The 21,043-nt window shown below is 42.6% G+C and overlaps 1 pseudogene; it reads left to right on the forward strand.

Annotated features, from left to right (window-relative positions):
* The first annotated feature begins 288 nt into the window (after positions 1-288).
* Positions 289-21,043, forward strand: part of LOC124906205 (UPF0764 protein C16orf89-like) — a 79,830-nt pseudogene continuing 59,075 nt past the window's right edge.

Here is a 21,043-nt window from a genome sequence, read left to right on the forward strand (position 1 = left end):
TAATGTCAAATGTAAAACATCGTGTAGAACAGTGGTTCTCAAAGTGTAGTCACTGGACCAGCTGATCAGCATCAGCATCACCTAGTAACACCTTAGAAAGGCAAATTCTTACAATAGGAGGGGGAGAAAAAAAAAGAAATGCAGATTCTCAGGTCCCACCCCAGATCTACTGAATCAGTAACTCTGGGGGGTTGGGCCTAGCAATCTGTGTGTGTATGTGTGTGTGTGTGTGTGTGTGTGTGTGTGTTGTTGTTTTTTTTTTTTTTTGAGACGCAGCCTCGCTCTGTCGCCCAGATTGGAGCGCAGTGGCGCAATCTCAGCTCACTGCAACCTCCACCTCCCAGATTCAAGCGATTCTTGTGCCTCAGCCTCCCGAGTAGCTGGGATTATAGGCACACACCACCGTGTCCGGCTAATTTTTTGTATTTTTAGCGTACACGGGGTTTTACCATGGTGCCCAGGCTGGTCTCGAACTCCTGACCTCAGGCAATCCACCTGCTTTGGCCTCCCAAAGTGCTAGGATTACAGGCGTGAGCCACTGCACCTGGCCAGCAATCTGTGTATTAATAAGCCCTCCCAGTGACTCTGAGGCATGCTAAAGTTTGAGAAATGCTGTCATATAGTCATTGGCTTATAGATGCTAAAGAATAATATTTATTATTATTGTTATTGTTATGAATTGTTACTGGGAGTCCAAAATATGCAGTCTCTACTTCTAAGAGGCCTAGATTCTTGTTGGAGGACCAAGATGTTGAATGTGAGATAGTCAAATAATCAGGGCCATTATTGACAAGAAAAGAAGTAGAACTTCTGAGGAAAGGGAAATAGGGGCCTGCAGGACTAATGTCACTCGTTGAAGCTTTGTGGTGGAGAAGGACTGAAGGAGGAGCAGCACTGTAAAGGTAGAGAGATAGTCAGGCACGGTAGCTCACGCCTGTAATATCAGCACTTTGGGAGGCTGAGGTGGATGGATTGCTTGAGCCTAGGAGTTCGAGACCAGCCTGGGCAATATGGCAAAAACACATCTCTACAAAAACAAAACAAAACAAAAATTAGCTGGGTGCAGTAGTGTACTCCTGTAGTCCCGGCTACTTGGGATTCTGAGAGGGGTGGATCACTTGAGCCTGGGAGGTCAAGGCTACTGTGAACTGTGATAATTGTATCATCCAGCCTGGGGAACAGAGCAAGACCCTGTCTCAAAAAAGACAGAAAGAAAGACAGAAAGAAAAGGCAGAGAGATGTTAGCAGGGCATTCTGGTTGAGGGAAATAGCAAGAGCAAAAGAACTATGGCTTAGAGGGGAGAATACTCAAGAAGTATTGAGATGTCAGCTAAGTCAACATGTCAGCTAAGTTCAACAAAAGTTTAACATTTCTGAGTATCTATTGCAGGCCAGATACTATGTTAGTACTGAGGACATGGACATCAGAAAGGCTCAGGCAACAAATTCCTAAAGGTGCTATGATTATGGAATAGAATAGCATCATCATCATCATGTTCTTCATTTTCATCATCATAAATACCATGTATTGAGGACTCACTATGTATCAGACACCGTTCTGAGCACTTTACATAAATCTGCTCATTTAATTCTAACAGTAACTTGATGGCATATGTATTATTATTATTCCTCCATTCCATACACGAAGAAACTGTGGCTTAGAAGGTTTAGATAGTCAAAAGTCATGCCAGGAATTAAGTGGAGGAGCTGGGAGCTGAGCCTAGTTCTGCCTGATTCTAAGGGGCTTTTAAATAAGTAGTCAATTCTTCTTGAAGGCTGGAGGGTTTGCAGGGCGCTGCCAAGAAGTCTCACTCCATATTGCATCGCTCCTTCTCCATGTCCCAGCCCTCCGTGCAGGTAGGCGAGGCCACATGATTACTACAGGCCGAAGAAGCATGACCTGAAGGGACACGCATCACTTCTGGGATCAGGCATTGAAAAACTTGTCCACAATTTTCCAGCCCCTTTCGTTGCAGTGTCAACCAAGTGGGCAGATTTGTGTTCTAGATGTGCCACGACGAGGTCACGGAACCTTTGCCGGCCAGAGTCCCTGAGTACATCTGTGATGCAGGGCACCCTGGGCATTTCTGCTGGATGTGTAGTTTAAGCAAGAAATATACCAAGTGAATAGGCTGTGATCTGAGGTTTATTTGCTACTGCAGCATAAGCCTAGTCTATGCTGACTAATACAGTTTGAAAAAGGGGATAAAGTTAGGTTTGTAGGGTAGAAAGAGTCCTCAATTTTGGCCTAAAATTTTTCCAGTGTAGTTTGCAGGCAAGTTGAACCATTGAAAGTTTCTTTGCACAAAGTGGAAATCCTTTTTTTTTTTTTCTTTTTGAGATGGCGTCTTGCCCTGTTGCCCAGGCTTGAGTGCGATGTTTCAGTCTCGGCTCACTGCAACCTCCACCTCCCAGGTTCAAGCAATTCTCCTGCCTCAGCCTCCTGAGTATCTGGGATTACAGGTGCGTGCCACCACACCCAGCTAATTTTTGTATTTAGTAGAGATGGGGTTTCGGGTTTTGTCATGTTGGCCAGGCTGGTCTTGAACTCCTGACCTCAGGTGATCCACTTGCCTCGGGCTCCCAAAGTGCTGGGATTACAGGCATGAGCCACTGCACCTGGATCAAAGTGTAAATCTTTGGGTCTCTTTTAGGAACTGAGTTAAAGGTAGGCACAGGGATGCAAAAATAGCATTTTTTTTTTTTTTAGACAACCCTGTTTAAAGATGTACTTTCCATTTATCTCCCAGAAACCAAGCCTTTCCAAGGTCCTGGAAAATCCAACAATTTGAGGTTAATTCTAAATTTTACTGGCTTCTTTAGATACATAGAATCAATACACACATACACCAAAACAAAAAAGAAACATTCTCTTCTGTGCTTGTGTGTCCTAATTTGCAGTCTGGGAAAATATGATTACCTTAGACCTGTTCTCCTGGCTGCCCCCAGGAATATCTTCAGAGTTCAGTTCCATGAGCAGCACTTGATCTTGAAATCTACATCCAGCCCTTTTTTCCTGCCTTTGGCAGATGAGCCATGACAGCGCTGCTCTCCGTGAGCCTGGCCACTGGCATGTGTGTGGTATACTTCATTTAGTTCCCCTGAAGAATATGCTGGGAGCTCTGTCAGACCTTTTAGATTCTTGGCATGATTTGGAGCTCAGCTGAGGTGGATAGGATTCCTAAGCCTGCTGAGTAATTCTTTGTTATTTATTTTTTGATGTCAAATTATAACAAGAACTACCAGGACCTCGAGGGAAACATCTTTGAACAGAACATAGCACCATGGTGGGTCTTTCCGCCAGATAAAAATTCAAGAGCCAATTGCCATGGGCAAGTGAAAGAGTGGGCAGAGGATGTATATATCTATAAACATTTGTGTAGAGATACAAACATATACTCATTTAGACGAGGATCTATCACCAGGAAAATCACATTTCAACAATGAGTATATTCACAAAGAAATTCAATGTAGAGCTAATAGTGGTTGTTTATTTACTTGGTTTTCATAAGGCCAAAGTTCATGGAGATATAAAATACTAAGAGGCAGTATATTCTTAAATAAATATTCCGCAGAAGAGTTCAAGGAGGGGCTGATCTCTTGTCTATTCTGTGTAAATTCTTGGCCCTAGCATTGGAAGGTCTGGAATAGCAGTGCCCAAAAAGGTATAGCATCAGATCTTAGACTGAGAGACCTTACACATGTTACTAAACACGAGTGGGCTTCAGTCTTCTTATCTGAGAAATGCAGATTTGGTCATTAATTCAACAAATATCTATGTGTCTTAACTCTTCTAAATGCTGGGGATACAGTCGGGGAATAAGATAAGATGATAAGTAGGGGAATAAGTAGGGGATACAGTAGGGGTTGTGCTCTCACATGAGGAAACCAATAAATGAAGCAGCTGATTATTGTTGATTGCTGGTGCTATGGGGGAAAAAAAGGTTGAAAATATAGAAAATGACTGAGGGGTACAGAGGTAATTTAGGTTGGACTTGAATGGCGAGACAAGACAGCCATATGAAGTTCTGGGAGTAGAGGGCAGCACATTATGAAGTCCCCAGGTCACAAATGAACTGGGAATGTGATGACCAGAAAGGAGCCAATGAGCCAGGGAGATGCAGAGGTGGGAGATGTGGAGGCAGGGATAGGCAAGCAGCAGATAATAGGGGGCCATGTAGAGCACAGGGGACGCTGTTTGGATTTTATTCCGAGTGCAATGGGAAGTCATGGTGGAAGGCTTTAAGCAGGGGAGTGACATGATCCAATGTGTTTTTTTAATTGTTGTTTGTTTGCGATAGGGTCTTGCTGGAGGCTGGAGTGCAGTGGTGTAATCATGGCTTACTGCAGCTTTGAACTCGCAGGCTCAAGTGATCCTCCTGCCTCAGCCTCCCAAGCAGCTGAGACTACAGCCATGCGCCATCATGTTTGGCTACTTTTTAATTTTTTTGTGAACACAGGGTGTCGCTATGTTGCCCAGGCTGGTCTTGAACTCCTGAGCTCAAGCAATCTGCTTTCCTTAGCAAATGCTGGGATTATAGGCAAGAGCCACTGCGCCTGGCCAATGTGCATTTTTAAAAGCCTTATTTGGGCTGCTATGTCAAAGATAGATGACTGAGAAGTCAAGAGTAGGAGCAGAGAGACAAGTTAGACAAGTTAGGAAACTCTTAAAGCATCTCTCAAGATTAAGTTTGCATCAGGGGAAGCAAAGGAATTTTAAAATGATGCATCTTAGTGTCTGGCTAAAATAAATCCCCTAAATACATAGCCCATCCCCTAACTGAAAACTGCTAGGGACCAAGAGAGTTCACTATTCAAGCTGCATATTCCATATATTGAATCAGAGGTGAATATAAAGTCATCAAAGCTCATTATTACTAACTATCTACACAATCATGGGGTAAAGAGTGACGATTTATTCCCTTAGGTATTGACGCTAGTCATGGTTTAGCCAGGAAACAAAAATTACTTGAATATTTAATATGGAAGGCCTTTCATGGAGACAATGGGATACATAGGCAATAAGGAGGCTGAGATGCGGGCCAGGTGCAGTGGCTCCAGCCTGTAATCCCAGCACTTGGGAGGCCAAGGCAGGCAGATCACTTGAGGCCAGGAGTTTGAAAGCAGCCTGGCCAACATGGCAAAACCCCATCTCTACTAAAAATACAAAAATTAGCCTAGCTTAGTGGCGGGCACCTGTAATCCCAGCTACTTCGGAGGCTGAGGCATGAGAATCACTTGAACTCGGGAAGTGAAGGCTGCAGTGAGCCGAGATCACACCACTGCACTCCAGCTTGGGCTGCAGAGCGAGAGTCTGTCTCCAAAAACAAGGAAAGGCTGAGATGCCAAGAAGCAAGGGACAGTGAGGCAACCAGAGATGAAAGTCATAGGAAGCCCCTACCATCCCGAGGCCAGAGGGACAAAGGGAGGAGAGAGTACAATTCAAGCCTGGGGGAACTGGAGTCGCCTGAGCAAGCTGGGTCATGGTGGCCCTGTCTAGAGTGAACTAACGGCGTGAAGGAAATACAATCACTGCCGGAGATGCCTGGGAAAAATGCCCCAGCTTCTCCCGCTTCCTGCTTTTCAGTCTTTTACCAGTGCCGCACATTGGCCAAACCCAGCAAGAAGCAAGCTGCAGTGGCAGCCTGGGAAGCATAGCCTGCAGTCCTGCTGGGATACAGAACAGAGCAGGGAAGCGGGAGCATGGACCCAAGGCAAACAGGCCCAGGACAGGACCTCACTCTACCTTCTGCCTCCAGATTTGAAAAGCAGGTGCTGCCACTTGGGGTTGGTGAAGAATGGACAGTGGAGGTGGCAAGATCGATTTATGAGATGGTAGGACTTCTTAAGTATTATTTCGTTTTATATAGTGCCTGCAGCTGAATCCATGTCAGGCATTCTTTGGCTCGATGTTTCAAAGCTGGGCAGGTAGTGATGCCTCTGTAGCAGGGAGTTCCAGCTGACTCTCAGCTTCACCACTGCTCAGGCTGGGGCATTTCTGGACATCCTGGATGAACCGGTGGGGCAGCCCCTACATAGGTATATTTTCAGGAAGGATCAAGGAGCTTAACGGAATAACATTGATCTTGAAGAAAGAGGGTTCCTGGTACAATGACATGGCTTTGATTGTTGGGAAGTGAGTTGGCATGCAGTTCTTGGTTTTTATAATTGAATCAGCTTCTAAGACCAGCCTCTCTGTGGTTTTGTTTTTGTGTATGTGGGGGTGTGTGTCCTGTGAGCTCTGACTCAATGGAGCTATTCCACTAAACTCTGTAATACCCTTGGCTGCCAGCATTTCTCTTTGGAACCGTTGGACAGCATGTGCCCTAAAGCAAGGAGAAAGGCCTTCCTCCTTCTGCATGGAAAGCAGTGTGACTCCTAGGCAGTGCGAAGTCTAGGGGCTAAAGCACTATCTTATTGCTTCAATAACTTCAAATATCAGTGGCAGTTATAAAGGTGGCTCAAGGGAGCAGTGCAGTACAATTTTGGTGGGATTCGAGCGAGAAGTCAAGGAAAAATATGAATGCCTTTGGGGATACTAAGTTTCCAGATATTTTGAAATAGTAGATTGAGACAAGAACAACAAAACGGCAGTGACACATGTAATTAGAATTTGAAAGGCCATAAACATTTATTTAATCCACTCATGTACTTCTCTGTGTGTTGGATATACGTTGATGAAAAATTTCTTATAAAATTTTACATAATCCATTCTCACATATGTGCAGGAACTTTGTGTGTACATCTCATCCATCTTTCCATTCATATGTCCACCCACCTGACTGTCCATCCATTTAACAGAGATATATATTGAAAACATACTAAGTACAAGGATCTGGGAACACAGCAGTGAACAAGACAAGATGACTGTTTTCATGGAGTTTATATGTGTTTGTGTGTGCATGTGTGTGTCTGTGTGTATAATAAACAATAAAAAGTGACATAAAAACACAAAACTCTAATAGTAAGATAAACAGGTCTCTGAGAGGCCCCAAATGGGGATGAGCGTAATCTGGGGTGTCAGATAAATCCTTAGAGGAAGTGACTGCTTTTTTTTTTGAGACGGAGTCTCGTTCTGTCATCCAGGCTGGAGTGCAATGGTGTGATCTTGGCTCACTGCAACCTCGGCCTCCCAAGTTCAAGCTATTCTCCTGCTTCAGCCTCCCAAGTAGCTGGGATTACAGGCGCACACCACCACACCCAGCTAATTTTGTATTTTTAGTAGAGATGGGGCTTCACCATGTTGGCCAGGCTGGTCTTGAACTCCTGGCCTCAAGTGATCTGCCCACCTCGGCCTCCCAAAGTGTTGGGATTACAGGCGTGAGCCACCACACCCAGCCTAGAGGAAGTGACTCTTAATAGGCGATCTGAAGAATGAGGAAGAATGAACAAGGTGATGAGGGAATGGAAAAACATTCTAGATGGAGGGAAATCATGAGCAAATGGCCAGTGATGGAACAAATCAATTTGTATATGAAGGACTGATTAAGGGCAGAGGGGAGGGATGCAGAGACAGGGAAGAACCTGGCAAACCATGGGTTCCGGAGAGGCAAGTAAGGACCTGACACATAGGGCCTTGCAAGCCACGGTAAGGAGTTGTATCTGCCCTAACCATTCGTGACCATTTGTAACCTGGTTTCCAGGGTCTGGTCCTTTACATGTGGCTCATTTTGTTTTTTTTAGACAATTTTTCTTCATATTGGGCTGGAATCATTTTTCCTTTAGCTTCCGGCTCTAGGCTCTGTCCCCTGGAGCCTTGCAGAGAAATCCTACAACTTATCTATTCTTTCTCTAGATCGTATTTCCTCTAACTCTCCTGTTCTCTAAGTGTAGCCCATCTTCATATGACAGGGTTTTAAGAATCTTTCCTGTTAATGTCGCCTTCTTTGGGACACACTTCAGTCGGCCAGCATCCGTCCTCAGATGCAGTCTTCAGAACCAAACACCTGAGGTTGGGTGAAAGTAAAGAAGGGCTTTCACCTCTCTTGTTTAGGACACTTAGCTTCTATGGATGTGTCTTCAAGATCAAAGTCTTTTTTCTGAGTGCCTCCTCACACTGCTGATTCAAAATAAACTTGCAGTCAGCTAAAACCTTTAAATTCATTTCTTGTAAGCTGCTATTAAACCAGGTGGTTCTCATCCAATATGTATGTGGGCATTTATTTTTAATTTATACCTTGTCTATTTCTAAAAACGACTTCAGCCTAGAACAGAACTCAAGTGTACGGCTACACAGTTAAAATAAAGATCCAAGGGAGAGCAGAAACATATTTTCACAGTAGACTTTGTGAAGGCAATTGCAGGTCTCTAGCTATACCGCATTTCTATCTCATTTTGTTGACTTAGGACTCTGTGCTATACTGTGCTATGTTTTTCTCAAATCTCCTTCTCTTCTTTGAGTTGGAAGCCACTCTCAGCAGTGGTTCATCTGCCAATTTGCTGTTGATCACCATTCTTACATATTTCCTGATTCTTTAAGTCAGAGATCCCAGTTCCATCATTTACTAGCTGTGTGACCTTGGGCAGGTTAATTCAGCTCTCTGCACCTTAGTTTCCTCATTTGCATAATGGTGCCTAGCTAATCAAGGTTAAGTATTAAATAAAGCAATAACGTAAAGCCCTTTGAACAGTGTGCTGTTCAAGGTCAGCTCTTGATACATTTTAATTAATTGTTATGAATATAAACATTGATTGAGAATTTATTGTGCTCTAGGCAATGTGGTAGATACTTAAATACAATATTGTATTTACTCCTCCCATTAAGCCAGTCAAGTGGTTACTGTAATCACCTCCATCAGAGGTTAAATGACTCATTTGGGTTCCCACAGCCAACAGTTTGGTGTTTTCAAGGCAAGATAATGGAAGGGCATTGTAGGCAGTGGGAACCGCACTAGCAAAGACCTGGCCTACTTGATGTACAGTGAATCACTGTAGTCTGGAATATGTGGGTTTGCACCAGGGTGGACAGCATCTCTCTTTCCTTCCATTTCTAAAATATGGCTTGTTTCCTAGAATTTCTACCTATACCCTGGCCCAACTCCTCTTCTGGGAGGCTCGTATTTCTCTGTCCTGCATTGAGACTGGATGGTGTGTCTTATTCTTACATATTTGTTCCTGGTAAGTGACACAAAAAGTCATGCTGCTCTTTGGAAGTAACTAGTAATTACACTTCAATTTCTTTAGAAAAAAGAAGACTGACAATCAGTCTCTTGCCATTCTGGTAACATGACCCTAACTATCTGTGAGATTTATTCTATCGTGCTTGGGCTAGGGAGTGTCATTCATTGTTTTTGAAATGTCTCTGGAAGAGAACCAGGGTTTCATCTACACCTTTTAACTACAGCTACATTTCAGTACTGGCTTGACATGACAGTATATAAATGGAACATTTGCATAATGTATTGAATTTCTAGTTAAATTTTAATGATAATTGACTGAACTGGATTGTCCCATAGGAAATAATGAGATAATGAGTGTTGCTTGCCTTGTGTCTAAGACTATAAAATGTCAAGTAACTTAGGGAAAAGTTTTTGCCTTTACCTAGTTGCCTCATCTGTTCTGCTTTTGCTATCTTTCCCATAAACTAACGTGCACTAGACTTCCCAGGGAATAATCACTCACTCATATTGCATTTTCCTTATGTCTACCTGCCTGCCGACAAGGGTGTCAAGCTTCCATTTTTAATGTGCCCCTAGAACAATTTGTGTTTGTTTCTTAAGATTTCTGAATGTCCATTAAGAAACCAGTTATTTCAAGAAATTTTCATTATAGTAACATAATTTGGATTAGCCCTTATTAAAAGAGAATTCTGTCTTTCTTTCTCTGCTTTGTTAAATCTTTAGGAGGTCTTAAGCTCTGAAAAAGATTATGCCAATCCCCACTTTAACTACTATGTGTGATTCTAAGAAAAAGCAACATTAAGTTTTAAAATAAGTATGAGGAAGTTCAACACAATCTGATTCTGGGTGGGCCAGGAGAACATGAGTAGGCCACTCAAGGCTTGACAGTGTCTGTTACACTTTGGTATATGCTCATGGTAGCATTTATTCCTGTTGTAACTTAGTACCTATCTGCATAATTATCTTCTTGCCCATTTCTTTTATTAGACTGTAACTTTCATGAAGGCAAGGAACATATCTGCTTACTGCTATATCCCTGGTATCATCTGAAACATCGTCTGTTTCAGAACCAGAGCCAGGTGTATAGTATGCACTCAATTAATCAATAATAATAATGAAAGATAAATAATAATGAAAAGATAGATAATAAAAACAAATCATAATAAAAATTATAGCTAAATTGATTGATTATTATATAAGACACACATTTCTAAGTGCTTTACATGTAACATATTTTTTTTTTTTTACAACAACCTGTTTAATATTCACTATATTGATGTGGACATTCAAGCACAGAGAGGTTAAGAAACATCAGCTACATCACACAGGAGGAAAGCTTCCTTCAGTTGTAACATTCTAGGAATTTAAATAGCTTTAAAACCAATCCCAAGTGGGTTGGAATACTCTGTTCCACAACAGCTGTCAGCAAGATTATTGACCTGAAGCGTTAGTGACTGGTGGACGAGTTCTTGGTCTTCAGTGACACTCTTGAAAGTGCTCAAGATCCCCATTGCTTGAAGAAAATTGGACCCCAATTTTCTTTCTGTCTTTTAAAGTTTAAAATATTTCAATCATAGCGGAAAATTGTAGAAGTACAGGATAGGTTCAGAAGGGCATATGGAGTGAGAACAGGTTGCTTCCAGTAGGCAAGAAAAAAATTTGAGTTCTGATGTGGATTACACCTTCGGAAAAGAGCAATGGCTGTTGCTGGTTCTGTAATAAGATGTTTCAGATTCTCAGATCCTCATCTGGTGCCTTTCTGACAAAAGCCAATGGCTTATAAGTTCCAAAGTTCTTAGGTGGTCAAGGTCCACCACGATCTTGTCTTAAACTCCATTTGGATCTTCTTTTTCCACCTTTCTCCACCTACTTGCTATCAGTCAGGACTTTCTGTTATGAGTAATAGAAAACTCACCTCACTCTGGCTTGAGTGAAAAAGGATTATTTATTGGTTCAGATAATGGAAAGAGTTCACTGGTAGAACTAAGTTCATCCAGGGGCTCAAATGATGTCGTTGTGAATCTGCTGTCTCCCCACATCTGCTTTCCTCTGTGATCAGTGAGTTCAGGGAGGTTCTTCCCAGGCAGAACCTCTCATCTCCCTATCTCAGTAGCCCTTGATATCCCCAGGCTTACACACTATACTCTCAGCAGCCAGTTTGAATTTGTTGGCATAATGCTAGCTGCTGTAAGATGCAACTTCTTAAAATTAATTGTCTTCGTGATTAGCAAAAAGAGCTTATTTGTTTTCTCTTATGACATCTGGATGCAGCTGTTCCTTGTTAGTGAATGACTTTTCTCCATGGAATGATTCAGGGCCCACCATCCTTTAGGGTTCAGAGTTTTCTTTACTTAGCAAATGGGGAAGCAAAGCGTGGAGAAACCGCAATCATTTTTTAAAGAATGTTTACTCTGTACCTTCCCTCAACTCCCTTTAGTGAGAATTGACTACATGACCAAATATGGACACAGGAAGGGCTGGAAAACGTAGCCCCAGACTGAATAACTGCTTTCTAGCCACAATTTCACACCACGGGCAGGAGCTCATGAATTTGTTGATTGCTGTCAGTCTCTGTCACAAATTTCCAGTAATGCCAACCAGAGTCTCTGAAATTAAAAAGTCTTGGTCTGGTTTGGGTCATATGCCTATTCTTGATTGAATAACCGTGCTTAAAGAGATGGAATTCATTCATTTATTCTATCATTTATTCCACAAATATTTATGACAGTTTTTATGTGCTAAATACTATTCCTAACCCTGGGAATACAGTAGTGAATACAACAGGTAAAAGTCCCTGCTCTCATGCAGTTTATATTCTAGTGAAGCCGGATGACTAAAACATATGGCATTGCAGATGGTGCTATGATCAGCAATAAACTAAGGAAGAAGGATGGGGAACACTGTGGGAGTCACAGACTGGAGTTTTCTTTTGGGTGTTACAGAGGCTTCTCCCAGAAAGTGACATCTGAATGAAGATTGGAAGGAGATGAAGGAGTGAATCATATATGGGGGAAGAGTGCTTCAGGTAGAGGGAATGGCTAGTACCAAGGACTGAGACAGGGGCAAGCCTGGCATATTTGTGAAAAGCAAGGAGGCCAGTGCTAGGGTCTAAATGTCCCCTCTCCACCTTGAATTCACATGTTGAAACTTAATTCCCATTGTGGTGGGATTAAGAGGTGGGGCATTTTGGGGAGTGATTAAGTCATGAAGGCTCTGCCCTCATGAATAAATTAGTGCTTTCTAAAAGGGTGGGAGGGAACTAGCTCAGATCCTTTGCGCCCTTTTACCTTCTGCCTTGTGAAGACACCCAGAAGGTGCTATAATGAGGAATGGGCCTTAGCCAAACACCAAACATGCTGGCGTCTTTATCTCGGACTTCCCAGCCTCCAGAACTGTAAGCAATAAATTTCTGTTATTTATCAATTACTCAGTCTCAGATATTTTGTTACAGCAGCACAAACAGAATAAGACAGCCAATGTGACTGAAATGAAGTGAGCTGGGAGAAAGAAAGAGGAGAAGACAGGGGAGTAACAGATAGCCAGTCAGATAGGACTTTGCTGATTACTGTAAGGACTGTGGCTTTTCCCAAGTAAGATGGGTAGTCTAGGAGAGTTTTAAGCAGGAATAAAATGAAGCGAGTTATGTTTCAAAACTGATTTCATAGTAACCCCTCTGATTATTACATTGAAAATTGACTGTAGAAGAGACTGTGGAAGCCAGATAAGAGGCAGGTGTGGTTATCCAGTGATGAAATGATGTTGGCATGGGCTAGGATAGTGAAGATGGAAGTAAGTGGCTGGATTCTGGATACTTTTTAAAGACAGATGAATTGTGCTGATTTTCTGGGCTTGGGTGACATGTTTTATCCTGGAGCAAGAGAATGGAATCAACACATCGGAACCACATGAGTCAGAGAGCAATGATTTCCTAAAGAAAATTGAGAAGGGAATTGGGAAGATGAGACTGGGCAGTACTCAGTCAGGGTGGGCTGATACTACAGTAACCAACAACCTCAAGACCTCAATGGCTTAAGGCAGTAAAGTTGAACTTACTGCACTAGTGACATGCCTAGTGCAGGTTAGCAGGGGACTGGAGCTTGTCATAGCAACTCCGTGTTTTAACTCTATTACCATGGATGAGGTTTGACGAGAGCAGATGCAAATCAAGAGAAGAAATACAGCTCCCTGGGAGAACATAGCACCCCATGAAGAACCACTTGGGGGATGCACCTTGGTCAGTCATGATGCAGAGGAATATGAGGGAACTGTGGGCACTATTGTGGTTTCTGTGGGAAGGAGAGGGTAAGGCAGGGCATGCAGACATAGGAGTGGCTAATTTGAATGATTTCAGTGGCTCTGGAGTATAGAGGCTGTCCTTGGTTGTAGAGTACTTGGCCCTGGGGTAATTAGGGTGGGTATATAGTGGCCTGGAGCATGAGAGTCTGATACAGCAGGTGGTTGGGGTATGGCCTTAATTGACTGTCCTAGAAGGGAACTGTCTGGCTTTTGGACAGGGCCTCAAAACTGGGTTAAGGCAGCTGGTGGAAGATGGCTCAAAGCCTTGAGTTTGAGGCTGTAGTGTGCTATAATCACACCTGTGAATAGCCACTGCACTCCAGCCTAGCAACATAGCAAGACTCTGCCTCAAAACAAAATAAAACAAGGGCACAACTTTTTTTTTTTTTTTTTCAAGAAATCTACGTTACACTCAGGGACTCAGGCTCACAGAAACTCCACAATCTTATGATATCACTATCTCAGCAGGAGGCCTCAAGATTGAAGTCAACAGAATGGGGAAATTGTGTACAGGCTCCTAAATATTTCACCAAAAGAGACTCATGACACTTCCTATGATGATTGACTGGCCAAAACAAGTCACATGGCCATACCTAACTTCAAGAAGGTGTGTGTCTGGATGGAAAGGAGAATCAGAAATCTTGGTGATCAACAGTGAGGTCTACCAAAGGAGGCAAAGCTCACAGATATCCACCATATACTCCACATTTTCCAAAACCACCACGTGTGTCCACTTTTTTAACCTTCTGTTGTCCATCTTCTGGACTCTATTCATCTTCTGAGACCAAGCTCTAAAGCCCCTTCCTCTGTAATTGCCCTTTCTTTTCTCTCCAGGAAAAATTTATTTTTTTCTTTTTCTGTGCTCTGGTAGTAGTTAATTTATGCCATTTTGAAAACTTAATTCTAATGTTAGCTTGGTTCCAGTCATCTGTTGCTATCTGATAAACTACCCCCAAACTTTGGCTTATAGAAACAATAATCATTTATTTTGCTCAAAAATTGTGGTTTGGTCAGGGCAGTGCCTGTCTCCTTCACAGGGCATCAGCTACAATGGCTCGACCAGGGCTGAAGGATGGCTCACATGGCTGACAACTTGGTGCTGGGCTTTCCATGGGAACTTTGGGCTTCCTCCCAGCATGGTGGCTGGGTTCTATGAAGGAGTGTGCAAAGAGTGTCCAAGTGACTTCTAAGGCTAGATCTTCAAAGTCAATATGACTTTTAGGTCAAGGCAACTTTTAAGATCTAGCCTTAGAAGTCACATGATGTTATCTTAGCCATAAGCATCAGCCCTTCCTGATTCAAAGGGAGGGGATACAGACCCCATATTTCACTGGGCAGAAAGTTAAAGTCACACTGTAAGAAGAGCATGTGAGATGGAAGGTTCTGTTGTAGTCATTTTTAGAACATACAACCTGGCAAAGCTCTTTACACTTCCAATCCATTTTATAATTAAGCAGGGAAGCAAATAATAGAAATTGTTTTGTGGGCGCTCATTCCCCTTGTATTACTGTGTGCTCCTTTATAATAGTGGCTGTGGTTTGTTCATCTTTGCATGTCCAGTGCAGAGCACAGAGATAGATGCTTGAGGGAAGACACTGCTTAGTAGGCACTGCTTTACCTTTTCTTCCTTACCAACAGATCCCTAAACTTATTTAGGCGACAACATGCTCAAGAAAGGTGGGCCCAGACCTAGGGGATGAATCATGATTGGTCTACAGCCTTTTTGACTATCGTATTCCTCTATTCTGGATTATCAATTTGGGAATGGTTATGTGATCTAATTCTCTCCAAAGAGATGCAAGAGAAAGTCTGTTGAAAGGAGTTGTGACAAAGATTTCTCATTCTAGAAAAAGAGATGGGTATGGAGAAATCCCACGTTCCTTCCTACTTTTGGATGTTGTTGTGTGACGATGTTATGTTCGAAGCTGTGGCAGCCATATTGAAATCATGATAATCTCTGCAGGGGAATCTCAAAAAAGCCAACCAATATTCTTGGCATTATTTAGCTGCTAGATTAACCAATTTCTGGACCTGCCTATCTCCAACTTCTTGTTATGTGAGGTAATTAATTCCTATTATTTAAAGCCAGCTTTAATTGGCTCTTTCAGCTGTTATTTGCAGCTGAAAGCATTCTCACTGAAACAGAGCTCAATTAATGTTCATAGAATTGAATTGAATTCCCCTAACTGATTTGGCTAACTCATTTTGTAGTCTGTGCCATGCACAAGAATAAGCTCAGAGGATTGTAAAATCTCATTCCTATGTACACTGCTACTCTGAGTTTCTTCTGTGAACCTCAGGGATTTCAAAGTTGGATTGCCTGAAATGTTTCCAAACCAGAGTCCATTGGCTCACCTATGTCTAAATGGTAGCTTTCATTAGGAAAAAAAAATTTTTTTGGTCCAAGTATTTAAAACACAAAAGACCTCTGGGTGTGCTGGCTTCTTGGCATTCCCAAGTCTTGCAGCTGAGACATAATGACTAACTACAGGCAATTAGAGGGTGAAGTTGCTACCAGCAGTTTGAATGAATGGAGAATGCAGCTGGGTGCAGGCAGGTCTTTCTGGCCTCAACCAGGGGAAACTTTGCCAAAACACCTGTAAACTTTCCCAGCCTGGTTCAGCAAAATCTCCCCCTTTTAGGGAGCATCCATCCCCTCATGTTTGCAGCATGATACCTAAGCAAGTGTACTTTGACATTTTATTCTTTATAGGCAGTTATTATTATGATTTAATAGCATATTTTTATCCCTTTCTTCAAGCAGATTCTAAATAAGGCTACAGGGCTTTAGCCAGATAATGTTATGACGGGTTAAGGAAGGCTATGAAGAAAAGCCCTGTAGGTAGGTGAAATGTGGGACTAGATGGGTGGGTTTTCACAGCTTCAGTTTTTGTCAACCCCACACCTAGTCCTTCCTCTCTTCTCCCCTTCCTTTTGTTGTAGAACCTCAAAATTTAGGTTTGCATACTTGATGCACAGTAAGCCAAACACTGACACGTCAGTGCTTAGGAACAGAGAAAGGTTTATTTGATTTGGCCAAAGCCAAAGAAGATGGGAGAGATGAGCTCTCAAATCTGATCTGCCTTTAAACATAACCAGGGGCTTTTATGAGTAAGGCAGGAGGTGAGCTTCCCTTGATGATCAAAACTGTTTGCATCCCTCAGGCCAGTCAAACTCCTGGATGCTCTCAAGGAGGTCTGCATGACCAAGGATCATTGTTCTCTAAAAGAAAAACAAGTTCATGAATCTTGCAAGCAGCCCCGGGGGGTTAGGATATGAAGTTAATCAATTACTAGTGACTCCCCTCTACAGAAATGACTATGAGCAAGCCAGTGTGCCTGGAAGAAAACAAAGAAGGAAAAGTTAAACACACACACACACACACACACACACACACACACACACACACACACACACACAAATCCCTTATGATTTTTACGGTAGTGGCTCAGTTACACTTTCATCAGCCGCAGAGGAGGCAAGTGACCCAGCCTAACTATCAGAAGGCCCCACTATTTTCAGCCAGAATGACTGGTTAAGGGTGGATGCATGCCCCCACGACCCACCAGCACAACCCGAGTCCCTGTGAGAGAGTTGGGTATGGATTTTTCAAGGGGGAGGTATTTAGTCCTGTGTCAGTGTACATGGCAAGGGTGATGACATCCTGGCCCTGTCAGAGGGCCAGGAGACAGGCTTCTCATCCCATGAAAAGAGTTTGTCTGAAACTGAAAGATGGTAACACCAAGGCGAGAAGAGCTGGGAGGGAGAGAGATACAGAGCACCGGCTGTGTGTACGGTTACCTTGAGCAGACTTTTTAGTTATGCAAACCAATAACCTCCACCTCCCATTCCTTTCATTTTGTGCATCCCTTAAGATCGTCTGCACTGTGTTTATATTGTTAGCCACTCCACACATCCTGGCTAGTAGAGCACAGTTAAAGGTCTAAGAGCAGACAAAAAAAATGCCCCAGTGCTTAAGTGTTTTTTGTTCCAACTAGAAGAAATCGTTGTTATTTTGAGGACAAAGTCATCACTATCTAGCTGGAGAATATGATGTGGGACAGATACATTTTGATATAGAGGATGAAGAAGAAAAATGTCTGGAGCCTTAGATGTATTCGGACTTCTTTTCCAAGCCTGCAGCAATGTCCTGCAGGGCACCCAGAGATTCACTCAAGAGCACTGGCTATCCTAGGGTTTGACAAGGAAGAAAGAATGGAAGAACTACAGGCTACAATTTCCTATGTCAAAGTATTGTGGTAGTTGGGTGGTGTTTCTATTGGAGATGAGAAAAGTAAAAATGATCCAAATTGCAGCAGGAACACTTACGTGCATTGTTTGAATAAGTTCTATGAGTTCTAATAAGTTCTCTTTTATTTTTATTTTATTTTTTTTCAGGCAGAGTCTTACTCTGTCAGCTAGGCTGGAGTACAGCGGTACAGTCTCAGCTCATTGCAACCTCCGCCTCCCAGGGTCAAGTGATTCTCATGCCTCAGCCTCCTGAGTAGCTGAGATTTCAGGCGTGCACCACCACACCTGGCTAATTTTTTTGTATTTTCAGTAGTGATGGAGTTTTTCCATGTCGGCCAGGCTGGTGTCAAACTCCTGGCCTCAAGTGATCTGCCTTCCTTGGCCTCCCAAAGTGTTGGGATTACACGGCATAATCCACTGTGCCCAGCCAATAAGTATAACTCTTAGGAGACATTTAGGAAAGATGGAGTCATTGATTGGATTGTCACAAAAGTAGCAATGATGCAAAAGCACAGAGAAAGACTCAAGTCATAGAGTGACCAATTGTCCTAGTTTTCTTGGGACTGAGGGGATGCCTAGGATATGAGACTTTTATTTTTAGAACTGGGAAAGTCCTGGGTGAAATGGGACAAGGTGCTTACCTTACTTGAGGGTTTCATAAGCATCTAGCTGATCAGCACATTTATCAAGCACCTGCTGTGTGCCAAGCACTGCCTTCGTTTCTAAGGACCCACAAATGAATAAGACACAGTCCTTGCCCTAGTAGAGATTTAAGAGTCATGAAGCAAAATGTGGATTTCAATCTCACATAAGAAATTCTGTGGCTTTATCAGTGTTCACAGCAGTTTCACCCAAAATATTTGAGTCTGTGGCTGATGTGAAATCTTAAACCAGGAATTTAGGTCTTAAGGTCTACCATGCAGGAAAACATACTGAAAAATTACTGTGATTGGTTGATTAGGCAAAAGTGAAGTTCTTTTGTTAGAAGTTTAGTTTGGTTACCTGTCTGAAATAGACATTGTTGAAGCCCTGCCCAGATCCCATTTACCCAGCTGTTGCATCTCCCAGCTGCTGGCAGTGCTGGCTGCTCAAGGCTCTTTGCTAGATCCTTCTCTAAAGAATTTCCCTTGGTCCACAAGAACAACCTCGGTAGAAAATGCCTGGGAACTTATGGTCCCACAGCTACATGTAAAAGACCGGGAACAGCCCAGTTCTCTTGCATTCAGGTGCGTTCTCTAACGCTATCATATTCCAGAGCTTCCTGTGGGATCAGACTGAAGCTAGACTGTAGCTGAAGCCACATCTTTTCTCTTGCCTTCTCCTGTTCCCCTCACTTTCTTACAGGCTTCTCCTGAGTGCACTCCTGTTGTGGACTGAATTGTTGTCTCCTGCTCCCTAAATTCATATGTTGAATCCCTCCCTCCCAGAACCTCAGAATGCAACTGTATTTGGAGGTAGGGCCTTTAAAGAGGGGACTTAGTTAAAATAAGGCCATTAGGTTGGGCCCTAACCCAAGCTGACTGGTGTCCTTATGAAAAGAGGAAATCTGGATACACAAAGAGACACCAGGGGTGCACGTGCACAGAGAAATGGCCATGTGAGGACACAACAAGAAGGCAGCCATCTGCAAGCAAACGACAGAGCCTCGGAAGAAACCCGACCTGCCCATACCTTGATCTTCAACTTCCAGTCTCCAGAAGTATGAGAAAATACATTTCTGTTGAAGCCATCCTGCCTGTGGTATTTCATTATGGCAGCCCAAGCTGACTCATACAGCTCCCTCAAAAAATCCCGTGCATAAGAATCCTCACCTCAGGGTCTGCTTCCTGGGAACCCAACCAAAGATATTGTCTTAGAATGACTTGGAGAGTCAAGAGGAAAAAAATTCAGCAGTCAGGTGTTTCTACTAACTTCTCCCTCAAAGCTTTGTGGGATCTAAAATTTAAGAAATGCTGGAAGATTCCTTTTCATTTTACCTAGTCACATGTTGGTACTTTCTCTATAAGAAATATACGTATATACATACATATTTACTTTCTTAACCTTTTATTAAATATAAGAATTTGAAAATTGAAGCAATAAAGCATACTTATAAGTTTAGGCGACCACCCTTACTGCCTTTCATATTTGAAGGTGGACAGTGGGTCCACTGCATGTCATGTCTCTGGTTTGCATTTTTGAAGCACAGGGTTGGAAGAGTTCTGAAGACTAAAGGATCATCACAAGAATAATAATGATGAGAGCAATATTAACAGTGATCAGAGGAAGAGTATAGTATAAAATTCAAGAGAATGAGTTTTACAAAGATCTAGAACCAGAAATACCATTTGACCCAGCAATCCCATGACTAGGTATATACCCAAGGGAATATAAATCATTCTCTTATAAAGATACATGCATGTGTGTGTTCACTGCAGCATGATTCACAATAGCAAAGACATGGAATGAACCCAAATGCCCATCAGCGAGACTGGATAAAGAAAATGTGGTACATAAACACCATGGAATACTATGCAGCCATAAAAAGGAATGAGATTATGTCCTTTGCAGGGAAATGGATGGAGCTGGAAGCCATTTTTTTTTTCAGCAAATGAACACAGGAACAGAAAACCAAACACTGCATATTCTCACTCATAAGTGGGAGCTGAACAATGAGAACACATGGACACAGGGAGGGGAACAACACACACTGGGGCCTGTTAAGGGAGTTGGGGAGGGAGAGCATCAGGATAAAGAGCTGATGCATGTGGAGCTTCATACCTAGGTGATGGGTTGATAGGTGCAGCAAACCACCATGGCGCATGTTTACCTGTGTAACAAACCTGCACGTCCTGCGCCATGTATTCCACAACTTAAAATAAACAAACAAAAACAGTATGAATTTTAGAGAGAGAAGGATTTGGCTTTCTGATCTCTCTTTAAATATCAGTTTTCCCATCTGCAAAATGGCAATATTAATTGCTAAGGATAACAAGAGCCCCATGGAGCTCTTGTAAGGAATTAAAGACATAATGCATGTCAAACATTAGCACAGACCCTAACCCATAAATGCTCAACAATGGACAGCTATTATGAAAACACCAGGAGAGAAACATTCTTGTAAACAGAGAGGGTCTCAGGTAATGGTATTTTGAAGTCACTTAGAATACTACTTCTAAGAACTGATAGTTAAATTTTCAGGAAATTTGTGAGCCTGTTGTTAATCTCAGCCATCCTTGAGGTCAGCTGCTGAGAAAATGGTCAGAAGCTATACATCAGGGCTCTTTCCCTCCCCAAGAGCCAGCTGTGATGCATTTACCAGTACATAGAGAGGTCCAGGATTGCTCAAAGGTGAGACTTTTGGTGCCCATTTACAATGCTGTTCTGCAGGTGAGTGT

The sequence above is a fragment of the Homo sapiens genome, chromosome 3 (genome assembly GCF_000001405.40).
Source record: "Homo sapiens chromosome 3, GRCh38.p14 Primary Assembly".
NCBI classification, from domain to species: Eukaryota; Metazoa; Chordata; class Mammalia; order Primates; family Hominidae; genus Homo; species Homo sapiens.